This window comes from Homo sapiens, chromosome 22, assembly GCF_000001405.40.
Source record: "Homo sapiens chromosome 22, GRCh38.p14 Primary Assembly".
In the NCBI taxonomy this organism is placed as follows: Eukaryota; Metazoa; Chordata; class Mammalia; order Primates; family Hominidae; genus Homo; species Homo sapiens.
The window spans coordinates 49,831,010-49,854,500 of NC_000022.11; the positions used below are offsets into that span (position 1 = coordinate 49,831,010).

Genomic DNA, 23,491 nt, shown 5'->3' on the forward strand with positions numbered 1-23,491 from the left:
GGCAGGAGAATCACTTGAACCCAGGAGGCTGAGGTTGCAGTGAGGCAAGATTGCCCCACTGCACTCCAGCCTGAGTGACAGAGCAAGACTCCATTTCGTAAATGAAAGGATGGAAATTATCATATGTTTGTTCCTCAAAAGGCACCATAAAGAGACTGAAGAATGAAAAACTAAAAGATATGTACACCTTGCAGATGATTAGTATTTAGAATATATAGAGAACCCCTTCAGATCCATTAGAAAGAGACAAACAAGCCAACAAAATGATGCACAAAACCCAAATCAACAAAGAAACCCATGTCATAATCAGGCTTCTTGCAGAGAACATGGAAAGGCCAATCATCTTACTAGTAAATTTGGAAATGCAAACAAAATACACACCAAATAGGCACCAGCGTTCATATGTGGCAATACTCAGCGATGGCAAGATGGCAGAGCAATACCCTGCTGGCCAGAATGTCGAGTGGGACAATTATTTGGTAAATATCTTGGTCATAAGGCGTTACCCAGTGAAAGTGGACATGTTTATCAGTTACCTCTTGCTGCAAAACAAACCACCCCCAAAACTTTGTAGCTCAAAACAGCAGTCATTCCTTTTGTTCACACATCTGCTATTTGGGCAGGATTCAGCAGGTACAACTAGACTACTTCCTGCATCCTTATCTGGGGCACCTCCACTAGGGGCTGGAGGAGCCACTTCCAAGATGGTGCACTCACGTGGCTGGGACCTTGATCCAGGCTCTGGGCTGAGGGCCTTGGGAACATCCTCATGGAATAGTAGCCATGCTGCAGGAGCAAGGGTCTCAAGAGAAGCAGGTGGGACCTGTATCACTTTTCACATCCTAGCTTCTGAAGTCACACGCATCACTTCTGCCATAGGGACAAGCCTGTCCAGATTCAAGAGTTAGGGAGAATACAGACCCCACCTCTTGGGACATGTGTTATCATCACATTTTAAGAGAAGCATGCTGTATGGGAGAAGTTGTTGTGGCCACTTTGAGAAGATGCAAGCTCCCCCAGTGTGCATACCCATTCCCGGCTGTAGGGTTAAGTCAATTTGTATTCCTAGGTGCATTCCGTGCCTGGGTGTGTGCCTAAGAAACCTGTTCATCAGGGCCGGGCGCCGTGGCTCACGCCTGTAATCCCAGCAGTTTGGGAGGCTGAGGCAGGCAGATCATGAGGTCAGGAGATTGAGACCATCCTGGCTAACACGGTGAAACCCCATCTCTACTAAAAATACAAAAAATTAGCCAGGAGGCTGAGGCAGGAGAATGGTGTGAACCCAGGAGGCAGAGTTTGCAGTGAGCAGAGATTGCGCCACTGCACTCCAGCCTGGGCAACAGAGCAAGACTCCATCTAAAAAAAAAAAAAAAAAAAGAAAAGAAAAAAAGAAACTTGTTCATCAGGAAGCATGTGCATGAATGTTCAGAGCAACACTGTTTTTGGTGTTTTTTTTTTTTTATTTTAACGCTGTTTTTAATAGCAAATACTGGGAGAAATCTTAAATATCAAAGGACGGTAAAATGGACAAAGTGAGGTGTATCCACGCAATGGAATAGCACACAGCAACAGAAATGAATGAATTCCACCACCAACACGGCCAAATCTCAAACACATAATTTTAAATGGAAGAAAGAAATCTCAAAAGATTACAGAATATGATTCCATTTACACTCAGCAGACAGAGCTAGGAAATAAGTATGTACAAACACACACACACACACACACACACACACACACACACACACACACACACCCATATCTTTTCTGATACCTCTTAGCAAACCTTGAGTTCATACTGATACCTGTACCTCCAGTTACAATCTAGCATGGAGTTGATTCTACCCTCCTCTGTTTCTACATAACTATCTATGCCTTCACTTAGTAGCTCAGTCCCCCGCTACATAACCATCTCTAGGCTATACAGGACAGAAACTTGGCCCCAGACACAACCACTGCCCCCCATTTTGCACCAGCCAAAAATGCGGTTCTGGGGGCATCACTGCTCTCCAGAATGGTTATATCTGCAGGCTGAAAGCACAGCCCAAGAAAAGGCAAGGAGGAGGATGCTCATGTTGTTTCTGATATTCTGTTTCTGGCAGGAATAAGACAAAACCCTTCTTCTTTGATCTATCTCACCTTTAATTTATTTAATTTTTATTTTTACCCGGTATCTGCAACAATCTACTTTAGGAGACTATCCTTTCACAAACATTAAAACGTTCTTTAAATGGTGTTTTTCTCACTTCAGAATTCAGGAAAAATAGTTTTACTGACATTTACTTTTAATAAAAACGTAGTAATTTGCATTGTTGCAGTAGAAATTTGTCCTCCTTGTCACCAGGATATAATCAGACAAATTAATAGTGGAGCCCAGGCCTTACATGGGTGTCATATTTGAGAATAACTTTCCTGTGCTTCCACAACACGCCCACCTTTAAGGAACAAGGGTTGTGGCTTGTGTGCTGAACCAATGCCCACACAACCCTCAGACCCATACTGGCCGGGCACCTGTACTCTGGCACACAAAGCCTCAGCCTCACAAGTAGTAAGAAGGATACTTCCTGGCAGGCCAAGAGCCATGGCAGACACTGGAACCTTCTGGAAGATAGAAACTTGCACACACACAGGTCCCGCGGGCACACCTGAGGGAGGTGGATTTGGTTCGGCTTCCTGGCCTAGGAACAGAAGAGCAAATAAGAGAAATTAAAAAACAAAAAATCTCAGGTGTGATGTAGGCTCAGTCCTACATTCCTTATGATGACACGTCCAGACAGAAGTTGATTTTCCGGCTTGGTCATTGCATAACGCCATCTGGTTTACATGTGTCACCTAACAAGGACACTCGTGCGTGGTAATTACCACTTCTTGCAGCACCTGTGTAGATGAATTAGGTCAGAATGCAAGACTAGCTTTCTGTGGTCAAGAATAACCTTCGGAGATTATTTATCATCCCAAGAGGGAGCTAATAAAAATGTCCCAGATTAAGGATTAGACACCCCAAAATGAGTGTGTCCATTCAGTGGCAGGCTATGTTCCTGAGCAAGCCTGCCAGGCAGATTTTCGGATCCTCTGGAGTGTGCGCCTGCTTAACTTGCTATATACTATTGATTACGATATTTTACAACTCAGCAAGGGTAGACTTTAATTTGTTGAAGATAGATGGCTAAGTAAAATTATTCCTCTCTGACAGCAATGCAAATAAATTTTGCCCAGTAGTGAGTGATAGAAATTATTTCTGTCCAGTGGAAAAGATTACAGTAAAAAAGGTTGCAGTTTGACTGGGCGCAGTGGCTCACGCCTGTAATCCCAGCACTTTGGGAGGCCAAGGTGGGAGGATCACCTGAGGTCAGGAGTTCGAGACCAGCCTGGCCAACATGGTGAACCCTTGTCTCTACTAAAAATACAAAAATCAGCCGGGCGTGGTGGTGGGCGCCTGTAATCCCAGCTACTCAGGAGGCTGAGGCAGGAGAATTGCTTGAACCTGGGAGGCGGAGGTTGCAGTGAGCTGAGATCAAGCTATTGCACTCCAGCCCGGGCGACAGAACAAGACTCCATCTCAAAAAAAAAAGAAAAGAAAAAAAGAAAAGGTTGCGGTTTATGGCCCTGTAGAACATTAACCAGTTTTTTTAAAAATCTAAATAAGCAGAATTACTCAAACTTTTTTAAGTCACTACAAATACTTCCTTCTCTCCAATCTTTTGAACCAGCCTCACCATCATGCTGGTTTCCTCATTAATGATTAAAATAAATCTTTGACACGTCTTCACTTTAGAGTTGTATGAGTCATGTTTTTAACTTTTTTTTTTTTTAAGACGGAGTCTCGCTCTGTCACCCAGGCTGGAGTGCAGTGGCGCGATCTCAGCTCACAGCAAACTCCACCTCCCAGGTTCATGCCATTCTCCTGCCTCAGCCTCCCAAGTAGCTGGGACTACAGGCACCCACCACCACGCCCGGCTAATTTTTTTTTTTTTTTTTGTATTTTTAGTAGAGAAGGGGTTTCACCATGTTAGCCAGGATGGTCTCGATCTCCTGACCTCGTGATCCGCCCACCTCGGCCTGCCAAAGTGCTGGGATTACACGCGTGAGCCACCGCGCCTGGCCCTGTTTCTAACTTTTTAAAAAGTATGCTTTGACAGCTCCAACATCTAGCTGCCTTCTCAGCCTCTCCTCCAGGATGTCCTGTAGGCATCTCGAACTCAACGTATCTGGCACTCAGCTTTTGGTCTTCATCCCCAAACTTCTCTGCTGTCTCCTTCCTCGGTTATGGGTTGAATTGTGTCCCCCCTGCAAAAGGTATGGTGAAGTCCTAAGCACAGTACCTGGGAATATGAGCTAATTTGGAAATAGGGTCTTTGCAGATATAAAGTTAGGATGAGGCCAGGTGCAGTGGCTCACGCCTGTAATCCCAGCACTTTGGGAGGCTGAGGCGGGCGGATCACCTGAGGTCAGGAGTTTGAGACCAGCCTGACCAACGTGGTGAAACCCCGACTCTACTAAAAATACAAAAATTAGCTGGGCATGGTGGCGCATGCCTGTAGTCCTAGCTACTCACAAGGCTGAGGCAGGGGTATCACTTGAACCTGGGAGGCGGAGGTTGCAATGAGCAGAGATTGCGCCACTGCACTCCAGCCTGGGCAATAGAGTAAGACTCCATCTCAAAAAATAAATAAATAAATAAGAATAAATAATAGGCCGGGTGTAGTGGCAAAAAATAAATAAATAAATAAGAATAAATAATAGGCCGGGTGTAGTGGCTCAAGCCTGTAATCCCAGCACTTTGGGAGGCCAAGGCAGGCAGATCACGAGGTCAGCAGATGGAGACCATCCTGGCTAACACGGTGAAAACCTGTCTGTACTAAAAATACACAAATATAGCCAGGCGTGGTGATGGGTGCCTGTAGTCCCAGATACTTGGGAGGCTTAGGCAGGAGAATGGCGTGAACCCAGGAGGTGGAGCTTGCAGTGAGCTGAGATCGTGCCACTGCACTCCAGCCTGGGCGACAGAGCAAGACTCCATCTCAAAAAAAAAAACAACAAAAAAGACATAAGAAAAAAAAGAATAAATAATAATAATAATAATAATTAAGTTAGGATGAGGTCATTGAGTTGGGCCCTAATCTAATGACTGGTATCCCTTTCTAAATTACACAATCTGCTAACCTTCTCTGTATCATTCCAATTTTAGTGTATGTGCTGCTGAAGCAAGCACCTGGTATTCTTATAAGAAGAGAAATTGGGACACAGACACACAGAGCAAAGACAGCTATGTGACAATGGAGACAGAGCAGAGTAATGTGGCCACAAGCCAAGGAATGCAAAGTATTGACGGCCACCAGAAGCCGAAAGAGGCAGGAAAGACCCCTCTTTATGGGTTTCAGAGGGAACACAGTCCTGCTGATGCCTGGACTTCGGGCTTCCGACCTCCAGAGCTGTGGGAGAGTGAGTTGCTGCCATTCTCAGCCCCCCAGGCTGTGGCGCTTTGTCATAGCAGCCATAGGACATGAATCCACTTTCTCAGCTAAGGCAACTCCGGGCTTCCTAGGTGAGAGGCACTCCTGCACTGCTCATGTCTGACCCGCTGGCAAAGCCTGTCGGCTCCCCTTTCAAAATAAGTCCAGAGCCAGCCCTGTGTCACCGCCTCCTCTGTTCCCTCAACACCTCTCACCTGGATTATCCCAGTAGCCTGACCCACCTCTCTGCTTCACCCTTGTACCCCTCTGCCTCTTCCTCTCTACAGCAGCCCAAGTGACAGCATCTCCTGCGTTTAACACCTTCCACTGGCTTCCCATCTCCCTGGGAATAAAAGCCACAGTCCTCAACTCCACAACAAAAAACACAGAACCTGATTTTTTTTTTTTTTTGAGACGGAGTCTCACTCTGTCGCCCAGGCTGGAGTGCTGCGGCGCGATCTTGGCTCACTGCAACCTCTGCCTCCTGGCTTCAAGTGTTTCTCCTGCCTCAGCCTCCCAAGTAGCTGGGATTACAGGCGCACACCATCACGCCTGGCTAATTTCTGTATTTTTAGTAGAGACGGGGTTTCGCCATGTTGGCCAGGCTGATCTCGAACCTCTGACCTCAGATGATCCGCCCGTCTCGGCCTCCCAAAGTGCTAGTATTACAGGTGTGAGCCACTGCGCTCAGCTAGAACCTGATTTTAAAATGGACAAAGGACTTGAATAGACAACTACAAATAGCCAATAAGCACATCGAAAGATGATCATCATTAGCTCTCAGGGAACTGCCAATCAAAACCACAATGACATCCTACTGCACACCCACCTGGAGAGCTAGACCCAAAAAGTCAGGTAGTGAGTGTTGACGAGGATGTGGAGACACTGGAACTCTCTCATGCTGCTGGTGGGACCGTCAAATGGTGCACCTGCTTTAGAAAACGGTCGGGCAATGCTTCAAAATGCTGAACACAGAGCGTCCATAGGTCCCAGCAAGTCCACTCTGAGGCATATCCCCAAGAAATGAAAATATGTGTCCACATACACACTTGTATGTGAAGACTCATCGCAGTGGTATTTCTCATAATAGCTGAAAAGTGAAAACAGGTCATGAATGGATAAATCTGGCATATACATAGATGGCATATAATTTGGCAGTAAAAACCAAGTATTGACATGTGCTGCATCATGAAGAACCCTTGAAAACATGACGCAGCCACAAAAGATCACATATTGTAATGATTCCGTTTACATGAAATGCCCAGAATAAGCAAATAGGTTGCCGGGGTCTCAGGGAGGGGAAACGGAGTGAGTGCTAACGGGTATGAGGTTTCTTTTGGGGATGATGAACAGGTTCTAAAACTGACTATGGTTAGGACCGCACAGCCCTGTGAATACACTAGAAACATTTCATTGAACTTGTTTTTGAGACGGGGACTTGCTCTGGTACCCAGGCTGGAGTAAATCACAGCTGCTGTAATCACAGCTCACTGCAACCTTGAACTCCTGGGCTCAAGGGATCCTCCCATATCAGCCTCCTGAGTAGCTGGGACTAAGGATGCGCACCACCACACCCGGCTAAGTTGTTTTTTTTTTTTTTTTTTTAATTTTTTTGTAGAGACAGGGTCTCGCTTTGTTGCCCAGGCTGGTCTCAAACTCCTGGACTCAAGCACTTCGCTCTCCTCAGCCTCCCAAAGTGCTGAGATTATAGGCAGGGGCCACTGCACCTGGCCTGTCCATTTTAAGTATACAGTAAACTGCATGGTATGTCTGTGAATTCTTTATCAATGAGGCTATTTTAAAATCCATAGAATAAATAATTACATAAATAGGCCGGGCGCGGTGGCTCACGCCTGTAATCCCAGCACTTTGGGAGGCCGAGGCGGGCGGATCACGAGGTCAGGAGATCGAGACCATCCTGGCTAACACGGTGAAACCCCGTCTCTACTAAAAAAAAAATAGAAAAAAATTAGCCGGGCGTGGTGGCGGGCGCCTGTAGTCCCAGCTACTCGGGAAGCTGAGGCAGGAGAATGGCGTGAACGCGGGAGGCGGAGCTTGCAGTGAGCCGAGATCGCGCCACTGCCCTCCAGCCTGGGCGACAGAGCGAGACGCCATCTCAAAAAAAAAAAAAAAAGTACAGAAATAAAAATTAAAAGTAAAACCAGAGACTTCTAGCTCAAGAGGAGATGGAACGGACTCATCTCTCCGTGCTCCTCCAGCTACACACACCTTTCAGCACTGGGAGCCAGTACAGCAGACAATTGCAGGCCTCGAAGTGGGGGGAAGAGGGGAACCGGCCGGTGGGGACCGCGGACTGGAAAAAGCGCGGCCGCCTGGAGCCTCCCATCCCCGCCCGGCAGTGGAAGGCAGTCCAGGCCCAGTATCTCCTGACCCAAAGTGGTGCAAGGGGGTCCAGGCCTAGGGCCTCCTCTCCTCCCCTCGCCTCTCCCCACGCCTCCCCAGTAGCTGGGGGAAGCCCCACAGCCCTCCCATAGGGGAATCTGCAGAGGCGGAGCCGGAACTTGCTGGCACCAGGTCCGCCCACTCCCCACCTAACAGCTCGGAGAAGCCTGGAGAGGCGCCTCTATCCCCACCGGCAGCAGCAGCCTAATTACGTAGACGCCTAAATAGCAGATCTAGTAGATAAACTCAATTCTTGTAGGAACCACAACCCACAAAAGTAGGCCAGGATGTGCTGCACCTCAACAGGGTGACTGCCTGCTGAAATAGCAGGTTTAAGTAGGATTCAGAGTCTGCTGCTGATATACAAACTGTCCAGATGACGATTCCACAATCATGCATCACACCAGGAGCCGGGAGACTCATAACTTGACTAAGAAAAGACAAATAACGATGCCAACACCGAGATAAATCAGGTATCGGATTATCCGAAAATGATTGTAAAGCAGCCCTCACAAAAATGCTTCAACAAGCATTTACAAACTATCTTGAAACAACTGAAAAATAGAGAAAAAAAGTTTTTGGTTTTTTTTTTTTAATGAAATCGGGGTGTGGGGAATGAGGGTAGGCGGCTGAGGCAACAGAATCGCTTGAGCCTGGGAGGCTGAGGCTGCAGTGAGTCATGATCGCACCGCTGTACCCCAGCCTGGGTAACAGAGAGAGACTCTGTCTCAGAAATAAAGAAAGAAAAGAAAAGAAAAAAGAACCAGATGGAAATTGTAGTGTCGAAAAGTACAATAAACCAAACTAAAAAACTCACTGAATGGGCTCAATAGCAGCATGAATATGACAGAGGAAAGAATCCATGAGCTGGAAGACAGAACAATAGAAGTAACCCAATCTGAAAAAAAGATGGAAAATAGACTGAAAAAAACTGATGGAACATAGCCTCAGGGACCTGTGGGACTATTTTTAAAAATCTAGGCCAGGCGTGGTGGCTCACACCTATAATCCCAGCACTTTGGGAAGCTGAGGAGGGCAGATCACCCGAGGTCAGGAGTTGGAGACCAGCCTGGCCAACATGGTGAAACCCTGTCTCTACTAAAAATACAAAAATTAGCTGGGCACAGTGGCTCTTGCCTCTAATCCCAGCACTCTGGGAGGCCAAGGTGGGCAGATCACCTGAGGTCAGGAGTTCGAGACCAGCCTGATCAACATGGCAAAACCCCATCTCTACTAAAAATACAAAAATTAGCCAGGCATGGTGGCAGGCGCCTGTAATCCCAACTACTTGGGAGGCTGAGGCAGGAGACTCACTTGAACCCAGGAGGCAGAGGTTGCAGTGAGCCGAGATTGCACCACTGCACTCCAGTCTAGGTGACAGAGCAAGACTCTGTCTCGAAAATAAATAAATAAATAAAAATCTAAATTTTGTGTCATTGATGTTTAAGATGGAGAGGAGAAAGAGCATGGAGCTGAAAAAAATATGTGAAGAATGAACAACAAAATCTTCCCAAATTTGGCCAAAGACATAAACCTCTAAAGTCAAGAAACTCAGAAAACCCAAATAAGAGAAATCCAAAGAAATCTATGCCGCACACATCGTGATTAAACTTCTGGGAACTAATGACAAAGAAAAAACCCTTGAAAGCTGGCAGAGAAACAACACATTGCCTATGGGGAAGAACATAGCTTTGTATTGGAAACCACCGAGGCCAGAAACAAGTGGTCTGGTGTTTCTCACGTGCCGAAAGAACTATCAGCCACGGATTCTATGTGGAGTGAAAATGTCCTTCGGGAACAAAGAGAAATAAAAAAAATTCACAGACCAAGGCACATGAAAAGAATTTCTCACTAGCAGAACTACCCTTAAAGAACAGCTAAAGGGGGGCTGGGCGCTGTGGCTCACGCCTTCATACCAGCACTTTGGGAGGCCGAGGTAGGCGGATCACATGAGACCAGGAGTTCGAGACCAGCCTGGCCAACATGGTGAAACCCCATCCCTACTAAAAATACAAAAATTAGCCAGGTGTGGTGGTGGGCGCCTGTAATCCCAGCTACCCGGGAGGCTGAGGCAGGAGAATTGCTTGAACCTAGGAGGCGAGGTTGCAGTGAGCTGAGATCAAGCCATTGCACTCCAGCCTGGGCGACACAGCGAGATTCCATCTCAAAAATAAATAAATAAAAGAATAATGATAAACATAAAAATAAATTAAAAAATAATGGAATTGTCTATTTTCTATATATACTTAGTGCCACATCAGACAGTGTTATAATTTTGCTTCAACCATCCAATATGATTTTAAAAACTTATGAGAAGGCCAACCTAGTGTCTTTACCGGTGCTTACTCATTCTACCATCTTCTTTCCTCCCTGAACATTCGTTTGTTGTCATTTCTTTTTTTTTTTTTTGGAGACAGAGTCTCGCTCTGTTGCCCAGGCTGGAGTACAATGGTGCAATCTCAGATCACTGCAACCTCCCTCCACCTCCCAGGTTCAAACAATTCTCCCTGCCTCAGCCTCCCAAGTACCTGGGATTAAAAGCACACGCACGCCACCATGCCCGGCTAATTTTTTGTATTTTAGTAGAGACAAGGTTTCGCCATGTTGCCCAAGGCTGGTCTTGAACTCCTGACCTCAGGTGATCCACCCACCTCGGCCTCCCAAAGTGCTGGGATTACAGGTGTGAGCCACCACGCCCCGCCTGTTGTCTTTTCTTTTCTGTTCGGAGAATTTCCTTTACCTGTTCTTCTTCTTTTTTGAGACAGAGTCTCACTCTATCACCCAGGCTGGAGTGCAATGGCCCGATCTCTGCTCACCGCAACCTCCGCCTCCCGGGTTGAAGAGATTCTCCTGCCTCAGCCTCCCGAGTAGCTGGGATTACAGGTGCCCAATATCTCACCTGGCTCATTTTTGTATTTTTAGTAGAGATGGGGTTTCACCATGTTGGCCAGGCTGATCTTGAACTCTTGACCTCAAATGATCCACCCACCTCAGCCTCCCAGAGTGCTAGGATTATAGGCATGAGCCACCGCGCCCGGCCAGCTAGGTGTAAATTTAAGAAAACATGTATAGAACATGCTAAAAACTATGAAATGCTGATGAAAGTAATCAAAGATCCAAATAAGTGGAGAGATAAACCATCTTCACAGATTGGAAAGCTCAAATAGAAAAAGTGCCAGTTTCCCAAGTATGGTGGCTCAGACCTGTAATCCCAGCACTTTGGGAGGCTGAGGTGGGCGGATCACTTGAGGTCAGGAGTTCAAGACCAGCCTGGCCAACATGGTGAAACCCCATCTCTACTAAAAATACAAAAATGAGCCAGGCATGGTGGCAGGTGCCTGTAATCTCAGCTATTCAGGAGGCTGAGGCAGGAGAATTGCTTGATCCCAGGAGGCGGAGGTTGCAGTGGGCCGAGATCGCGCCACTGCACTCCAGCCTGGGCGATGGAACATGACTCTATCTCAAAAAAAAAAAGAAAGAAAACAAAAACACCCAAAATTGACCATAGATCTAAAACGTGAAACTATAAAACTTTTAGGAAAAACATAGGAGAAAATCTTTGGGATCTTGGGCTAGGCAAAAAGTTCTTAGGTTTGATACCAAAAGCGTGAGCCATAAAATAAAATATTGATAAAGGGAACCTCATTAAAACTAAAAACTTTTGCTCTGTGAAAGACCCTGTTCAGAGGATGAAAAGACAAGCTACAGCCTGAGAAAAAGCATTTGCACACCCCCTGTCTGACAAAGGACTGGCGTGTAGAATATAGAAAAGCTCTCAAAACTCAACAGTAAGAAATAAAAATAAGCAATCCAATAGAAAAGTCAGCAAAAGATATGAAGAGACATTTCCATGAAGGGAATATACAGAATAAACACACACCATGATGTCCATCATCCTTAGCCATTATGGAGGTGCAAACTAAAAGTGCAACAAGACATCACACCTATTCAAATGACTCATATGAAAAGCAGTAACACCACCAAACACTGGCAAAGACCTGGAGAAGCTGGGCCATTCATGCATTGCTGGTGGGAATGTAACATGGTACAGCCATTCTGGAAAACAGCTTGGCAGTTTCTTCAAAAACTAACCATCTGACTACCATGGGACCCAGCAGTTGTGCTTCTGGGCATTCATCCCCGAGAAAAAAAGACTTTTTTTTTTTTTTGAGATGGAGTTTCGCTCTTGTTGCCCAGGCTGGAGTGCAGTGGTGCGAGCTCAGCTCACTGCAACCTCTGCCTCCTGGATTTCGGCGACTCTTCTGGCTCGGCCTCTGGAGTAGCTGGGATTACAGGTGCCCACCACCACACCCGGCTAATTTTTTTGTATTTTTAGTAGAGATGGGGTTTCACCATGTTGGCCAGGCTGGTCTCAAACTCCTGACTTCATGATCTGCCCACCTCGGCCTCCCACAGTGCTGAGATTACAGACGTGAACCACCGTGCCCAAAAAATAAAGACTTTTGTTCACACCAAAACTTGTACACGAGTGTTCATAGCAGCTATATTTGTAACAGACCAAAACTGGTATCAGCCCAGATGTCCTTCAGCAGTGAATGGCTAAACACACCATAGTACTCCCATTCCACGCAGCTCTACTCAGCAGGGAAAAGGAGCAGGCCGTTGGTACATGCAACTGGGATGAAGCATCGCCAAGGAATTATGCTGAGCAAAAATAGCCGATCCAAAAATGCTACTTACTATGCGATTTTTTTATTTTTTATTTTTTATTTTTTGAGACAGAGTTTTGCTCGTTGACCAGGCTGGAGTGCAATGGCGTAAAGTCGGCTCATTGCAACCTCCGCCTCCCGGGTTCAAGCAATTCTCCTGCCTCAGCCTCCCAAGTAGCTGGAATTACAGGCGCCCACCACCACGCCCGGCTAATTTTTTGTATTTTTAGTAGAGATGGGGTTTCACCATGTTGGCCAGGCTGGTCACGAACTCCTGACCTCAGGTGATCCACCCGCCTCGGCCTCCCAAAGTGCTGGGATTACAGGCATGAGCCACTGCACTCAGCCTACTATGTGATTTTTAAATGACACAGTTTTAGAAAAGAACAGATTTGTGTTTGCCAGAGATTCATGTCAGGCTGGGGACAGGAGGGAGGCGGGTGTGACTATAGATGGACGACATGAGCAATCCTGTGGTACTGGAGCCCTTCAGCATCATGACTGTGGGTGTGCAAGCCTTGCCTGCTGATAAAATCATGCAGAATTTAATATACACATAAAAATGAGTAGACGTAGAACTGAGGTACTCTGAATAAGATCCGTGGGTCGTATTGACATCCATACCCTGGCTGTGACGTTCCACTCTAGTTTTGTAAAATGGTACCCTTGGGAAACACTGAGCAAACCATACAAGAGATCTCTCTATGCTATTATTTCTTACAATGGCATGTAAATCTACAATTATTTCAATACAATTTTGCACTGCAGCCAAGCACTGCAGCTCAAACTCGTAATCCCAGCCATTTAGGAGGCCAAGGAGAGAGGATCACTTGAGCCCAGGAGTTCAAGGCTGCATTGAGCTAGGATGGTGCCACTGCACTCCAACCTGGGGGACAGGGCAAAACCCTGTCTCAAAAAAAATAAAGATTTTAAAACTTAAAATAAATAAATATTTAAAGTTTCCTGCCAGGAATGTTTTCTAAGAAAATACCTAGAGGATCTGCAAAGGAACAAAAATGATCATGCTCCCCTGGGAACTGTTTTTGATAGGGAAAGGGACACACTTCAGATCCTTGCTGAAAGGAAAAAAAACTGTTTTCCTCTCCTCTGTCACATAGAACACTCTGCCTCCGACACCAAATGGGGGCAGAGGGTTCCCACATCAGCCACTTCTCCTAGCCCCTGGACACCAACTGCGAGTCCAGCAATTCACTCTGACACTCTCCACCTCCAGTTTGAGGCGGATCCCACAGGTTAGGGGCTCCGTCCCACAGCCTGCCCCCACTTCAGGTGCCAGTGGAAGGTCTGGGTCGCTGGTACTTCTGATCAAGCAAGTGTGATTCAGGAGTTCCTACAATCCCTTCTTTGGGTTGGATACTTTGCTACGAATAGAATGGCTTATGGACCTCAGAGAAACATGTTTGTTTGTTTGTTTGTTTGTTTGTTTATTGAGGCCCAGTTTCGCTCTTGTCGCCCAGGCTGGGGTGCAATGGCACGATCTCAGCTTACCACAACCTCTGCCTCCTGGGTTCGAGCGATTCTCCTGCCTCAGCCTTGCTAGTAGCTGGGATTGCAGGCATGCACCACCACACCTGGCTAATTTTTTATTTTTAGTAGAGACAGCGTTTCTCCATGCTGGTCAGGCTGGTCTCAAACTCCCAACCTCAGGTGATCTGCCCACCTCAGCCTCCCGAAGTGCTGGGATTACAGGCGTGAGCCACCGCGCCTGGCGAGAAACATGTTTATTATAAAAGATACGATAAAGGATAGGGATGAGGAGTCAGATGAAGGGTGCGTAAGGCGAAGTCCAGAAGCGTTCTCAGCACAGGAGCTGCCAGCCCTGGGGAGCTGGGGTGCTCCACGCCCCCCACAAAGAGATGTGTTCACCAACCTGGGAGCTCTCCAAACCCCCACTGCTGAGGGACTTTTACGGAGACGTCTTCATGTAGGCATATGGCGCATTAGGAACCGCGCCTCTAGCTAGCCCGTCTCCCCTGCTCAGAGGTGGGGGTAGGGCTGAAGCTCCAGGTTTCTCATCATGGTGTGGTCTCGCTAGTGACCAGCCCCCATCCAGGAGCCCACCAAGAGTCACCCCATTGGAACAGAAGAAGCTCCTATTATCCAGGAAATTTCAATGGTTTTAGGAGCTCTGTGTCAGGAACCAGGGGCAGAGATGAAATATCTATTTCTTATTATGTCACGATCCCACAGGACTGTGTACGTGAATGTGCCATGCAGTGTCAGGCAGCCATTCAAAATGACCCCACACTGCCATCATCAGTGGCAGGCGAGGCTCTTTGCTAAGCAAAAACAGCAGTTTAGAGAAGAGAACACACACGGTGCAAAGCCCAGAGGTGCCACATGGCTTCCTGCAGGGTTGCCATGAGTGCACTGGCTCAGCAAACGAAGCTCCTGAAATTCCAGACGAGGTGGGAGATGGGTTTCGGGGTGTCTGCAGCTTTGCCACAGATAGGAATGCTTTCTAGAGGAACTTCATCCTCGGTTCGGGATTCTTTGCTGTGGGAGTTTGGCTGGACATGAATTTGAGTGACGTCCGTTGGCCTCATGGCACCTCAGGCACAGAGATAGCCAAGTAGACAAGTGGAATCTTGCGCTGTACCTGAACCTTCCAGAAACACAGCCTACAACCTGTGACCACGAGATGTGCCACCAAAAAAGATGGCAGCTGAAGTTAGACTCCGCCGGCCCCTTCCTCCCTGCCTGGCTTCCTTGCGTTCCTTGAGTGCACTCAGAGCTCCACTCCCTGGTTAGCAGTCAGGCCTCAGCTACGGCGCTGCCTCAACTCTGTAAAGTTCTGCACGTAGCTCCTAGGTTCTGCAGGGGGTGATTTTTGCTCTTGTCCTGAAGAATAACAACAGCATTTTAACAAGTGTTTGAAATAAAGATGGCACACATTTAGGCCAGGCACAGTGGCTTGCGCCTGTAATCCCAGCTACTCCAGAGGCTGAGGTGGGAGAACCCCTTGAGCCTAGGAGATTCAGGCTGTAGTGAGCCGACATCAAGCCACTGCATTCCAGCCTGGGTGACAGAGCAAGACTCTGTCTCTAAAAAAAAAATAATAAATTATATATATATATGTACTCTTTTCTTTTGCCCAGGCTGGAGTGCAGTTGTGCGATCTCGGCTCACTACAGCCGACATGAACACTGCAGCCTCAAACTCCTGGGTTCAAGTGATCTTCCCATCTCGGTCTCCCAGTGTTGGAAGTACAGGTGTGAGCCACCATGTTGGCCTTCTTTTTTAAATATATGGTCATATATAAAACCTAGGCAATGCCAGCTGGGCGCTGTGGCTCACGCCTCTAATCCCAGCACTTTGGGAGGCTGAGGCAGGTGGATCATGGGGTCAGGAGATCGAGACCAGCCTGGCTAACACGGTGAAACCCCATCTCTACTGAAAACACAAAAAATTAGCCAGGCATGGTGGCATGCGCCTGTAGTCCCAGCTACTCGGGAGGCTGAGGCTGGAGAATCGCTTGAACCCGGGAGGTGGAGGTTGCATTGAGTCGAGATTGTGCCACCGCACTCCAGCCTGGGTGACAGAACAAGACTCCGTCTCAAAAAACAAACAAACAAAAAACTAGGCAATGCCAGGTGCAGTGACTCATGCCTGTAATCCCAGGACTTTGAGAGCCCGAGGCAGGCAGGTTGTTTGAGCCCAGGAGTTCAAGACCAGCCTGGGCAACGTGATGAAACCCCGTCTCTACTAAAAATACAAAAATTAGCCAGGTGCCTGTACTCCCAGCTACTCAGGAGGCTGAGGTGGGAGGACTGCTTGAGTCTGGGAAGTTGAGGCTGCACTGAGCTGTGATCACACCACCGCATTCCAGCATGGACAACAGAGCAAGACCCCGACTCAAGGTAACAAACAAAAAACAAAAACCCTGGGCAATATACACCTAATTGTTCTTAAAGTTATTCCTTTAGGGATGTGTCATAAGTAGTTTTTTCACCTTTTTACATACTTTTGCTGTTGACTGGACTATATACAGAGAACAACATGCCTGTTATGATTAGGGTTGCAGATAAAATACGGTACAATCAGTTACATTTTAATTCCAGATAATAATTTTTTAGTATATGTACGTGCTGTGCACTTTTTTTTTTTTTTAGACAGAGATTCGCTTTTGTCGCCCAGCCTGGATGGCCCAATCTTGACTCACTGCAACCTTCGCCTCCCGGGTTCGAGCGATTCTCCTGCCTCAGCCTCCCTGGTAGCTGGGATTACAGGAGCACGCCACCATGCTCCGCTAATTTTGTATTTTTCGTAGAGACGGGGTTTCACCATGTTGGTTAGGCTGGTCTGGAACTCCCAACCTCAGGTAATCCGCCCACCTCGGCCTCCCAAACTGCTGGGATTACAGGCGTGAGCCACCGCGCCCGTCCGGTCCCACGCAATTTTGTATTTTTATCCACCAAATCTGGCAGTCCCAGCTATGAACACAAGCTCCAAATGCCTTTCCACCCATGGACCCTCAGACAGAACCAAGGCCACCGCAGCCTGGAGCAGCTGCCGCCCCCACCCTTCCCAGCGCGTTCCCTTAACCCCCTTGCGTTCCAGCTCCCCCGGCTCCAGCACCTTCGTGACCTGAGCACCGGCGGGCTCCTGCTCACTGTCCAGCACCCGACGCACCTGTCCCCGCCGCGCAGTCCCTTCCCCCCGGCCTGAGCTTCCCTCCCGGCGCGCACTGCCCTTGTGACCCTTTCCCTCCCCGGCCACAGATGCAGCTCTCGGCCAGAAGCTCCACTTCCCCGAGGCCCTCGCCCCTGCCAGGCAGCTCCCCTGCGGCGTCGCCCACCCAGAGTTCTCCCCCTGGACGCTCCCTCAGTGCCCCCCTAGCAGCCCCGGCGGTCTTCTCCCCACCTTCAGCCCCCTCCCCGGTCCCCCAGGAAGGGGCCAGACTCCAGCTCAGCACCCAGCGCTTCCTGGTCTTTCCCTTCTGGGCGCCCTCCCGACAGTTCCCTTTAGGGAAGTTGGCCCGCTGCGCGCTCCCACCCCCGGCCGCCGCCTGGACAGAGGCGCGCAATCCGGAGGGCGCAGGCTCCGGCCCGGAGAAGGGGGTGCCGCCGGCGTTCCGATTTCTCAGGAATGGGGAAACAGAGGCACGGTGGATCCGGCGGCGGGGCTGGGTCTGGGGCTGGACGTTGACCTAGGACCCCGCCCCTGCCCGCCCTGCGCCGCGCCCCTCCCGGGCCGGCCTTGACCGAGCAGCTCCACGCGGGCCCGGGGCTCGTCCACCCGACAGGAGCGGGGGGCTGCAGCCCACGAGCCCACGAGCCCGCAGCGACGCACCCGGAGTGTAACCTCGCAGAGTCACGGAGACACTTTCCCGGTGTGGGCGCCTCGCCGCGCTTCCTCCCCGCGGGCTGCGGCCACCCCAGGGCAGGACAGAGCCGAGATGCCCGGGTGGGAGCGATGCCCGCGTGGGGGCGATGCAACGGGGGAGATGCCTGGGGGGAGGGTGGTAAGGTGAAACCTGGTGGAGAACAATGGGGGTGGGTGGGCGATTCCTGGGGAGGTGCCCGGTGTGGGGTGTTTCTGGTTCGCCCGGGGACAGTGCGCGTCCCCTCGCCCGCGGCGCCCGCCCTGCCCGTCCCACCGAGGTCCCCCGGGAGCGTCTGGGCCCACGGCTTCGGGGGGTTTCTCCGAGACCTGGGCGCTGTTCTGGGGGAGCAGGGGCCCGGGCCACCAAGGTTCGTGCGGACCGTGGGGTGTCCCACGCCCAGGCCGGGGGATCCCAGAGCCCCGCTTCCCTCAAGGGCGCCGCGCCCCGGACTGCAGGTGGAGACGGGGACCGGCCCCGCGGGGTCGCCGACAGGCGCGGGGCGGGACAGGGTGGGAGGCGGCGGGGCGCAGAGTCCTCCGGTCGCCGGCGCGATCCGGGCACCTTCCTGGAGGCGGCGGGAGCGCGGTCGCGGCGCCTCCGGGGTGGGGTCCAGGTTGGAGGCTCCGGGGCGCACCGCCCTAGCCCCACCCCGGCCGGGTCCCCGCGCTGCCTCTGCGGAGAGGGAGGAAGGAAGGAAGGCAGGGAGGGAGGGGACGGCCGGCAGGCGTGGGGTCCGCGGCGTCAGGGCTCCTTCCTCCCGTCCGCTCCATCCTGCAACCCGTAGCCCGGGCGGGGTCTCGCTGCCCCCTCCCCGAACACAGCCGCCTTTTCCTCCCTCCCCAACCCCGAGCGCCTCCCTTCCCGAATGCGGGAGTCCATAGTGCACGGGAAGCCTCTTCCCCTCCCCACCGAGGCTGCCCGACGCCCCTTCCACCCTCCGACCCCCCGCAACCATCCCTCAAATGCCCCGGCGGCCAGCAGGGCTGGGGTGGGCGCAGGAGAACCAGGGGTCCTGCCCGCATGCAGGGGTTTGGGGTCGGTGTGGCCGAATGAACGCGCGGGTTCAGACGAGCCTGTGATGCCCCCGCTTTCCATCTCCTCGCGACCTGGCCCCAGAAGACAGTCTGAGAGGCCGGTGGCCGCGGATCCTGGACGCGCTTCCCTCCTGCCTGTGGTTTCCCTTTATTCCGGCAGCGCTGTGAGTCCACCCTTCACTCATAGGAGCCACATCCAGAACCTTCTCCTGGGGCCACAGCGTGGGCTTCCGATACCTGTGTGACCCCAGCTCTGCCCCTTCAGGGCTGCGTGGTGAAGCCCTCAGGACCCTCCGCGTGGGTTGGGCGGGTGACGTGGATGAGGGACAACGTGGTGAGGTCCCCGTCGTGGCGAAGAGTGACCAGTAGGTGCCCAGGGCCCAACCCTCCTCTGCACCCGAGAGAAACCATCTCCTCTGCAGCAGCCCCCACCTGGACGCTCTGGAGTCCTCCCCACCTCCCTCCCCAGTGGGGCGCACAGCATTCTTGCTACCCTGAAAGGCAGACGGGAGGCACAGGGTGGCAGAGGGGGGCCAGGTCTGAGATTCCAGATGGAAGGGACCATGGGGCTCCACCCCACCACCACTGTAGGCAGGGGACTGGCAGGTGTACACCCTTACTCCCGCGGGGCCCAGGGACACAGCCACCCTCCTTTGAGGCCCTGGCCCTCAGGACCCTGCCACAGCGAGGTCTGTGCCTCCCCAGTGACCAGTGGTCACCGGGCTCGGGGTCACCCAGCTGCTTCCACATGTGACACCATCAGCTCCATGCCCTACCCCCAAGCTGGGCTCATAATCTTAATTCACAGCTAAGAAACTCAACCAAAGTCACATCACATGAGGGCGAACCCTCCAGGGCCACAGTGCTCCAAGCACGGAGGGCTCCCTGCCTTCGGAAGATGCTGTGGGTCCACCTGCAGCCTCAGTGGACAGAGGACCAGGGCACCAGCTGCTCTTCTGCCTCAGTGCGGAGCATCCCTGACTCGCACTGCCCTGTACAGGTGGGGCTCACAGTCTGTGCATGGAACTCAGATAAAACACCTGGCCCTGGGATGTCACACTTTGGTTCAGATGAATGAAAAAATAAGATACTGACACTCTGGATGACTAAGAATCGACTTATGTCTTTCCCGTGATGGGAAACTGTCCCATGAAAAGCCACTTACATGTTTGGATGGTCCTGTAGAAAATATTTTTTCTTCTCCTTATCGCAGTCTCTATGATGCATAAGAATGCAATTTAAGACAAACAGCAAATAAATACCATCTGTGTATGTACCAAGCACTTGCAGACTGAAAAAAAAAAAAGAAAAAGAAAAAATAAGATATTGTATCTTGGGCACACAGAAAGTGCCCATCAAAGATTAAATGAATGGACTGCAGCTGGTGGAGGCATGGGGTACTGGCTTGCCGAAACAGTCCCAGTTGATGCTGGGTCCTGGCCCCATGATGTCTAGTGTGCCCTTCCATGCTCCAGGGTGCCCCATTTGGGCACTTAGTCCAAGGGCCACCCGACATACAAAACAGTATCTTCCTGTGAGGGGCCAGAGAATAGGCCGCACCTGGCTGCCCTGCACAATTTGGAAGGCACTAGGAGGGACCTGTCAACCTGCACTCACTCACTCACCGGCAGGCCCCTTTGGGAAGAGCTGTTGCTCTTTGGCCCCAGGAATCTTCTATTTCTGCACATGAGTGCCAGGCAATTGTGGGGCCCCATTAACCTACTCCACAAAGCGTAGGGGGCCTTGCTCTCGGCACTGGGCATGCTCCCTCAGCACATACAACAAAGAAGTCCCCCCTCCCACTGATTCTAGCAGGAGGCTGTTGGGGGGCAGTCATGACACAGGCATATACAGTGTGTCAGATGTGTCAGAGCCCGGAGAGGGGATGAGGAGAGCGCAGTGTTACTTCCTAGAGCATGGCCCCGGAGAGCCTCCCACTATGCTGACATATGGGCAGCCGTCTGGGAGCTTGACACTGGCAGAGGGGAAGAGCAGTCCAGGCAGACAAGAAGTCAGTGCGAAGACCCCAAAGCAAGCATCAAGGAGGCTGGGGGCTGCTGCAGATCTGATGAGGGGATGGCAGGGGCAGAGCAGGCCTGAGAACACTGGCCTCCACTCTGAATGAAACAGGGATCCCCAGGCCGGGCACGGTGGCTCATGCCTGTAATCCCAGCACTTTGGGAGGCCAAGGCGGGCGGATCACAAGATCAGGAGATCGAGACCATCCTGGTCAACATGGTGAAACCCCATCTCTACTAAAAATACATAAATTAGCTGGGCGTGGTGGCGAGCGCCTGTAGTCTCAGCTACTCTGGAGGCTGAGGCAGGAGAATCGCTTGAACCCGGGAGGCGGAGGTTGCAGTGAGCCGAGATCACGCTACCGCACTCCAGCCTGGGGACAGAGCGAGACTCTGTCTCAGAAAGAAAAAAAAAAGAAAAAGAAAGAAACAGGGAGCCCTTTTTGGGTGTCAGTGCCTGGTCTCAACTCCATAGCTATGGTGGAAGGTAAAGCAGTTTACCTTTTAACTACATGAACAAGCATGGTGGTGTTCCAGTTGAACTCCTTAGGAAACCGACATTTTAATTTAATTTTTTTTTGGAGACGGAGTCTTGCTCTGTCACCCAGACTGGAGTGCAGTGGCGCGATCTCGGCTCACTGCAACCTCTGCCTCCCGGGTTCAAGCGATTCTTCTGCCTCAGTCTCCCGAGTATCTGGGATTACAGGAGCCCACCACCACGTCTGGCTAATTTTTTATTTTTTTTCAGTAGAGACGGGGTTTCTCCATGTTGGCCAGGCTGGTCTCGAACTCCTGATCTCAGGTGATCCACCCGCCTCGGCCTCCCAAAGTGCAGGGATTACAGGCGTGAGCCACCGTGCCCGGCCGATATTTGAATGTCATATACTTTTCATATATGCTAAAATACTGTTTTAATTCTCCCCCAACCTCTTAAAAACGAGAAAAGCATTCTTAGCTCAGGCACCATAGAAAACCCGGCTGCAGGCTGGACGTGGACTTTGGAACAGTCGGCGTGCGGGTGAAGGGGCACAGCCGCGGGGCAGGGGCGGGCTCCGGGCAGAGGCGGCCGTGATAACTCCACGCTCCCGCTCCAGCCGGTGACCGCCACGCGGGCTCCTCTCACTCTCACACTCAGGCCGAGAAAATGCCGAAAGCCGTGTCACCAACGGGGGACCTCGGGGCCACATTCAGCATGCAGAGTTTATTTGGTCTGCTCAAACATTTGTGTTAGGAAATAACACATTAAAAGTGCACATTTCCTTCAGACCCTGAGAAGCGGGCGAGTCCCGTGCGCTCCGCACCGCCAGCCCCGGCCCCGCGCTCGCCCAGAGGGCCGCCCTCCTCCCGCCGACCCGGCTTGGGGCTTAGGCGTTAATCCCGTCCCCCGGGGGGGCCGCGCGGGGAGCCCCGATCGCCTTAGGGTCAACGGCTTAGGTCCCAGCCCACGAGGCCTGACCGCACCGCACTGAGCGGCCTCTGCGCCAGGTAAGGGGGTTCGGGGCGGGACCGGGAACCGCGCTGCTAGCCGTCCCGGAAACCCGCGGTGGGCCGTTGGGTGCGCGCCGAGCCGCTGCCAACTGCCAAGCCACGGGACGAAACCAAGGCGCCCGCGCCCCGCCCAGCCAGAGCGCCTAAGCCCTTCCCGTCGCCCGCCAGCGCCGGAGCGCCCACTGCGCCTGCGTAGTTTGCCCTCCTGGACCCGGGGGCGGAGCCGAAGCGCGCATTGCGCCTGCGTCTTCCGCCCGACCCCGCCCCAGCGGCCGGGCCTCCGGCGCTCCGTCCTCCCGCCCGGCCAGGGACGAGGCGGGGCGGGTACGCGGACACTGCGCCTGCGAGAGTAGGCCCCGCCCCCGATCGGCCCCGCCCCCGGCCAGCCCCGCCCCGCGCCGCGCGGGGCCCTGGGAGGGGCGCAGCGTCCGGCGGCGTCGCGGGCGGCGGGCGGCGGGGCCGCGGGAGGGGCGCGGGGGCAGACAAAGCCGCGGTAATGAATGGAGCGTCCGCCCGCGCCGCCGTCGTCCGCAGCCGGCCGGGAGCCGCCCCAGAGGCCGGGCCGAGGTGAGTGCGCGGGCGCCGCCGCCCCGCCGCCTGCCGCGAGCCCCGTCCCCCGCGGACCGCGCCGGGGCCGGGCCGGGCCGCGCCATTGTCTGCGCCGCGCCGGGGCCAGGGCCGGGGCCAGGCGGGCGGGGGCGCGGTTCCGTGGCCTCGGGGTCCCCGCCCGGCGCCGCCCCGGACCCGCCCCCGCGCGGACCCCGGCCCTGACAGCTGGCGCGGGGGCGGCGCCGACTGAGCGGCCGAGTGCCGGGGGTCGGCGCCCGGCCTGGCCCACGTGCCCGCGCCGTTGCTTCCGGGCGGACGGGACGGGGCTCGGGCTCGGGGCGCCGCCCGGGTCCGCCGGGAGCGCGCTGTCCCGGCCACGTCGAGTTAACCCCGCGAGCCCCGTCCCTGGGACTTCTCTGGACGTGTCATTCCCGTCCCACCTCCAGGAAGGGCCACCTGGGCCCTGCTTCATGTCTCAGCCCAGACGGGTCCTTGCGACGCGCCCCGAGGCAGGTTATTGTACGTGGTT

The 23,491-nt window shown here is 52.2% G+C and overlaps 3 protein-coding genes and 1 long non-coding RNA gene across 8 annotated transcripts in view, besides 4 other annotated features; 2 read left to right on the forward strand and 2 right to left on the reverse strand.

Moving 5' to 3' along the window:
* Positions 1 to 1,439: 1,439 nt before the first annotated feature.
* LOC105377205 (uncharacterized) lies at positions 1,440 to 22,503 on the reverse strand. Of its 3 annotated transcripts, NR_188597.1 has the most exons (5): positions 21,427 to 22,503; positions 20,073 to 20,198; positions 6,499 to 6,543; positions 6,283 to 6,385; positions 1,440 to 2,678 (listed from the first exon to the last, which is right to left on the reverse strand). It is a non-coding gene; the product is annotated as an uncharacterized LOC105377205 (long non-coding RNA). The 3 variants fall into 3 exon arrangements; NR_188598.1 differs by lacking the exons at positions 20,073 to 20,198; positions 21,427 to 22,503 and adding an exon at positions 7,683 to 7,884 and having other exon boundaries at positions 6,283 to 6,382; NR_188599.1 differs by lacking the exons at positions 20,073 to 20,198; positions 21,427 to 22,503 and adding an exon at positions 7,683 to 7,884.
* Positions 8,027 to 8,076: a silencer, noted in NCBI's record as "silent region_13924". NCBI's record gives its function as "represses an Ori minimal core promoter by ATAC-STARR-seq in GM12878 lymphoblastoid cells {active_cell/tissue: GM12878}" and the evidence as "EXISTENCE:reporter gene assay evidence [ECO:0000049][PMID:35858748]".
* LOC124905156 (basic proline-rich protein-like) lies at positions 14,251 to 18,643 on the reverse strand. Its single transcript, XM_047441701.1, has 3 exons — positions 18,589 to 18,643; positions 17,411 to 18,545; positions 14,251 to 15,388 (listed from the first exon to the last, which is right to left on the reverse strand). The coding sequence occupies exons 1-2, from the start codon at positions 18,641 to 18,643 to the stop codon at positions 17,512 to 17,514; spliced, it is 1,089 nt and encodes a 362-aa protein (XP_047297657.1). The 3' UTR covers positions 14,251 to 15,388; positions 17,411 to 17,511.
* LOC105373091 (sterile alpha motif domain-containing protein 1-like) lies at positions 18,581 to 19,661 on the forward strand. Its single transcript, XM_011530661.3, has 2 exons — positions 18,581 to 19,071; positions 19,173 to 19,661. The coding sequence occupies exons 1-2, from the start codon at positions 18,739 to 18,741 to the stop codon at positions 19,659 to 19,661; spliced, it is 822 nt and encodes a 273-aa protein (XP_011528963.1). The 5' UTR covers positions 18,581 to 18,738.
* The window catches only part of ZBED4 (zinc finger BED-type containing 4), a 37,231-nt gene continuing 35,580 nt past the window's right edge, over positions 21,841 to 23,491 (forward strand). Inside the window, exon 1 of one of the 3 annotated variants that reach the window (XM_047441685.1) lies at positions 21,841 to 22,410. The gene's annotated coding sequence lies outside the window, so the exon portion shown is untranslated. Of the gene's footprint in view, positions 22,411 to 22,834; positions 23,482 to 23,491 lie in introns of those variants that run through there. The other 2 variants (XM_047441686.1, NM_014838.3) reach the window with 2 other exon arrangements.
* Positions 22,183 to 22,272: a silencer, noted in NCBI's record as "silent region_13925". NCBI's record gives its function as "represses an Ori minimal core promoter by ATAC-STARR-seq in GM12878 lymphoblastoid cells {active_cell/tissue: GM12878}" and the evidence as "EXISTENCE:reporter gene assay evidence [ECO:0000049][PMID:35858748]".
* Positions 22,293 to 23,022: a silencer, noted in NCBI's record as "silent region_13926". NCBI's record gives its function as "represses an Ori minimal core promoter by ATAC-STARR-seq in GM12878 lymphoblastoid cells {active_cell/tissue: GM12878}" and the evidence as "EXISTENCE:reporter gene assay evidence [ECO:0000049][PMID:35858748]".
* Positions 23,193 to 23,482: a silencer, noted in NCBI's record as "silent region_13927". NCBI's record gives its function as "represses an Ori minimal core promoter by ATAC-STARR-seq in GM12878 lymphoblastoid cells {active_cell/tissue: GM12878}" and the evidence as "EXISTENCE:reporter gene assay evidence [ECO:0000049][PMID:35858748]".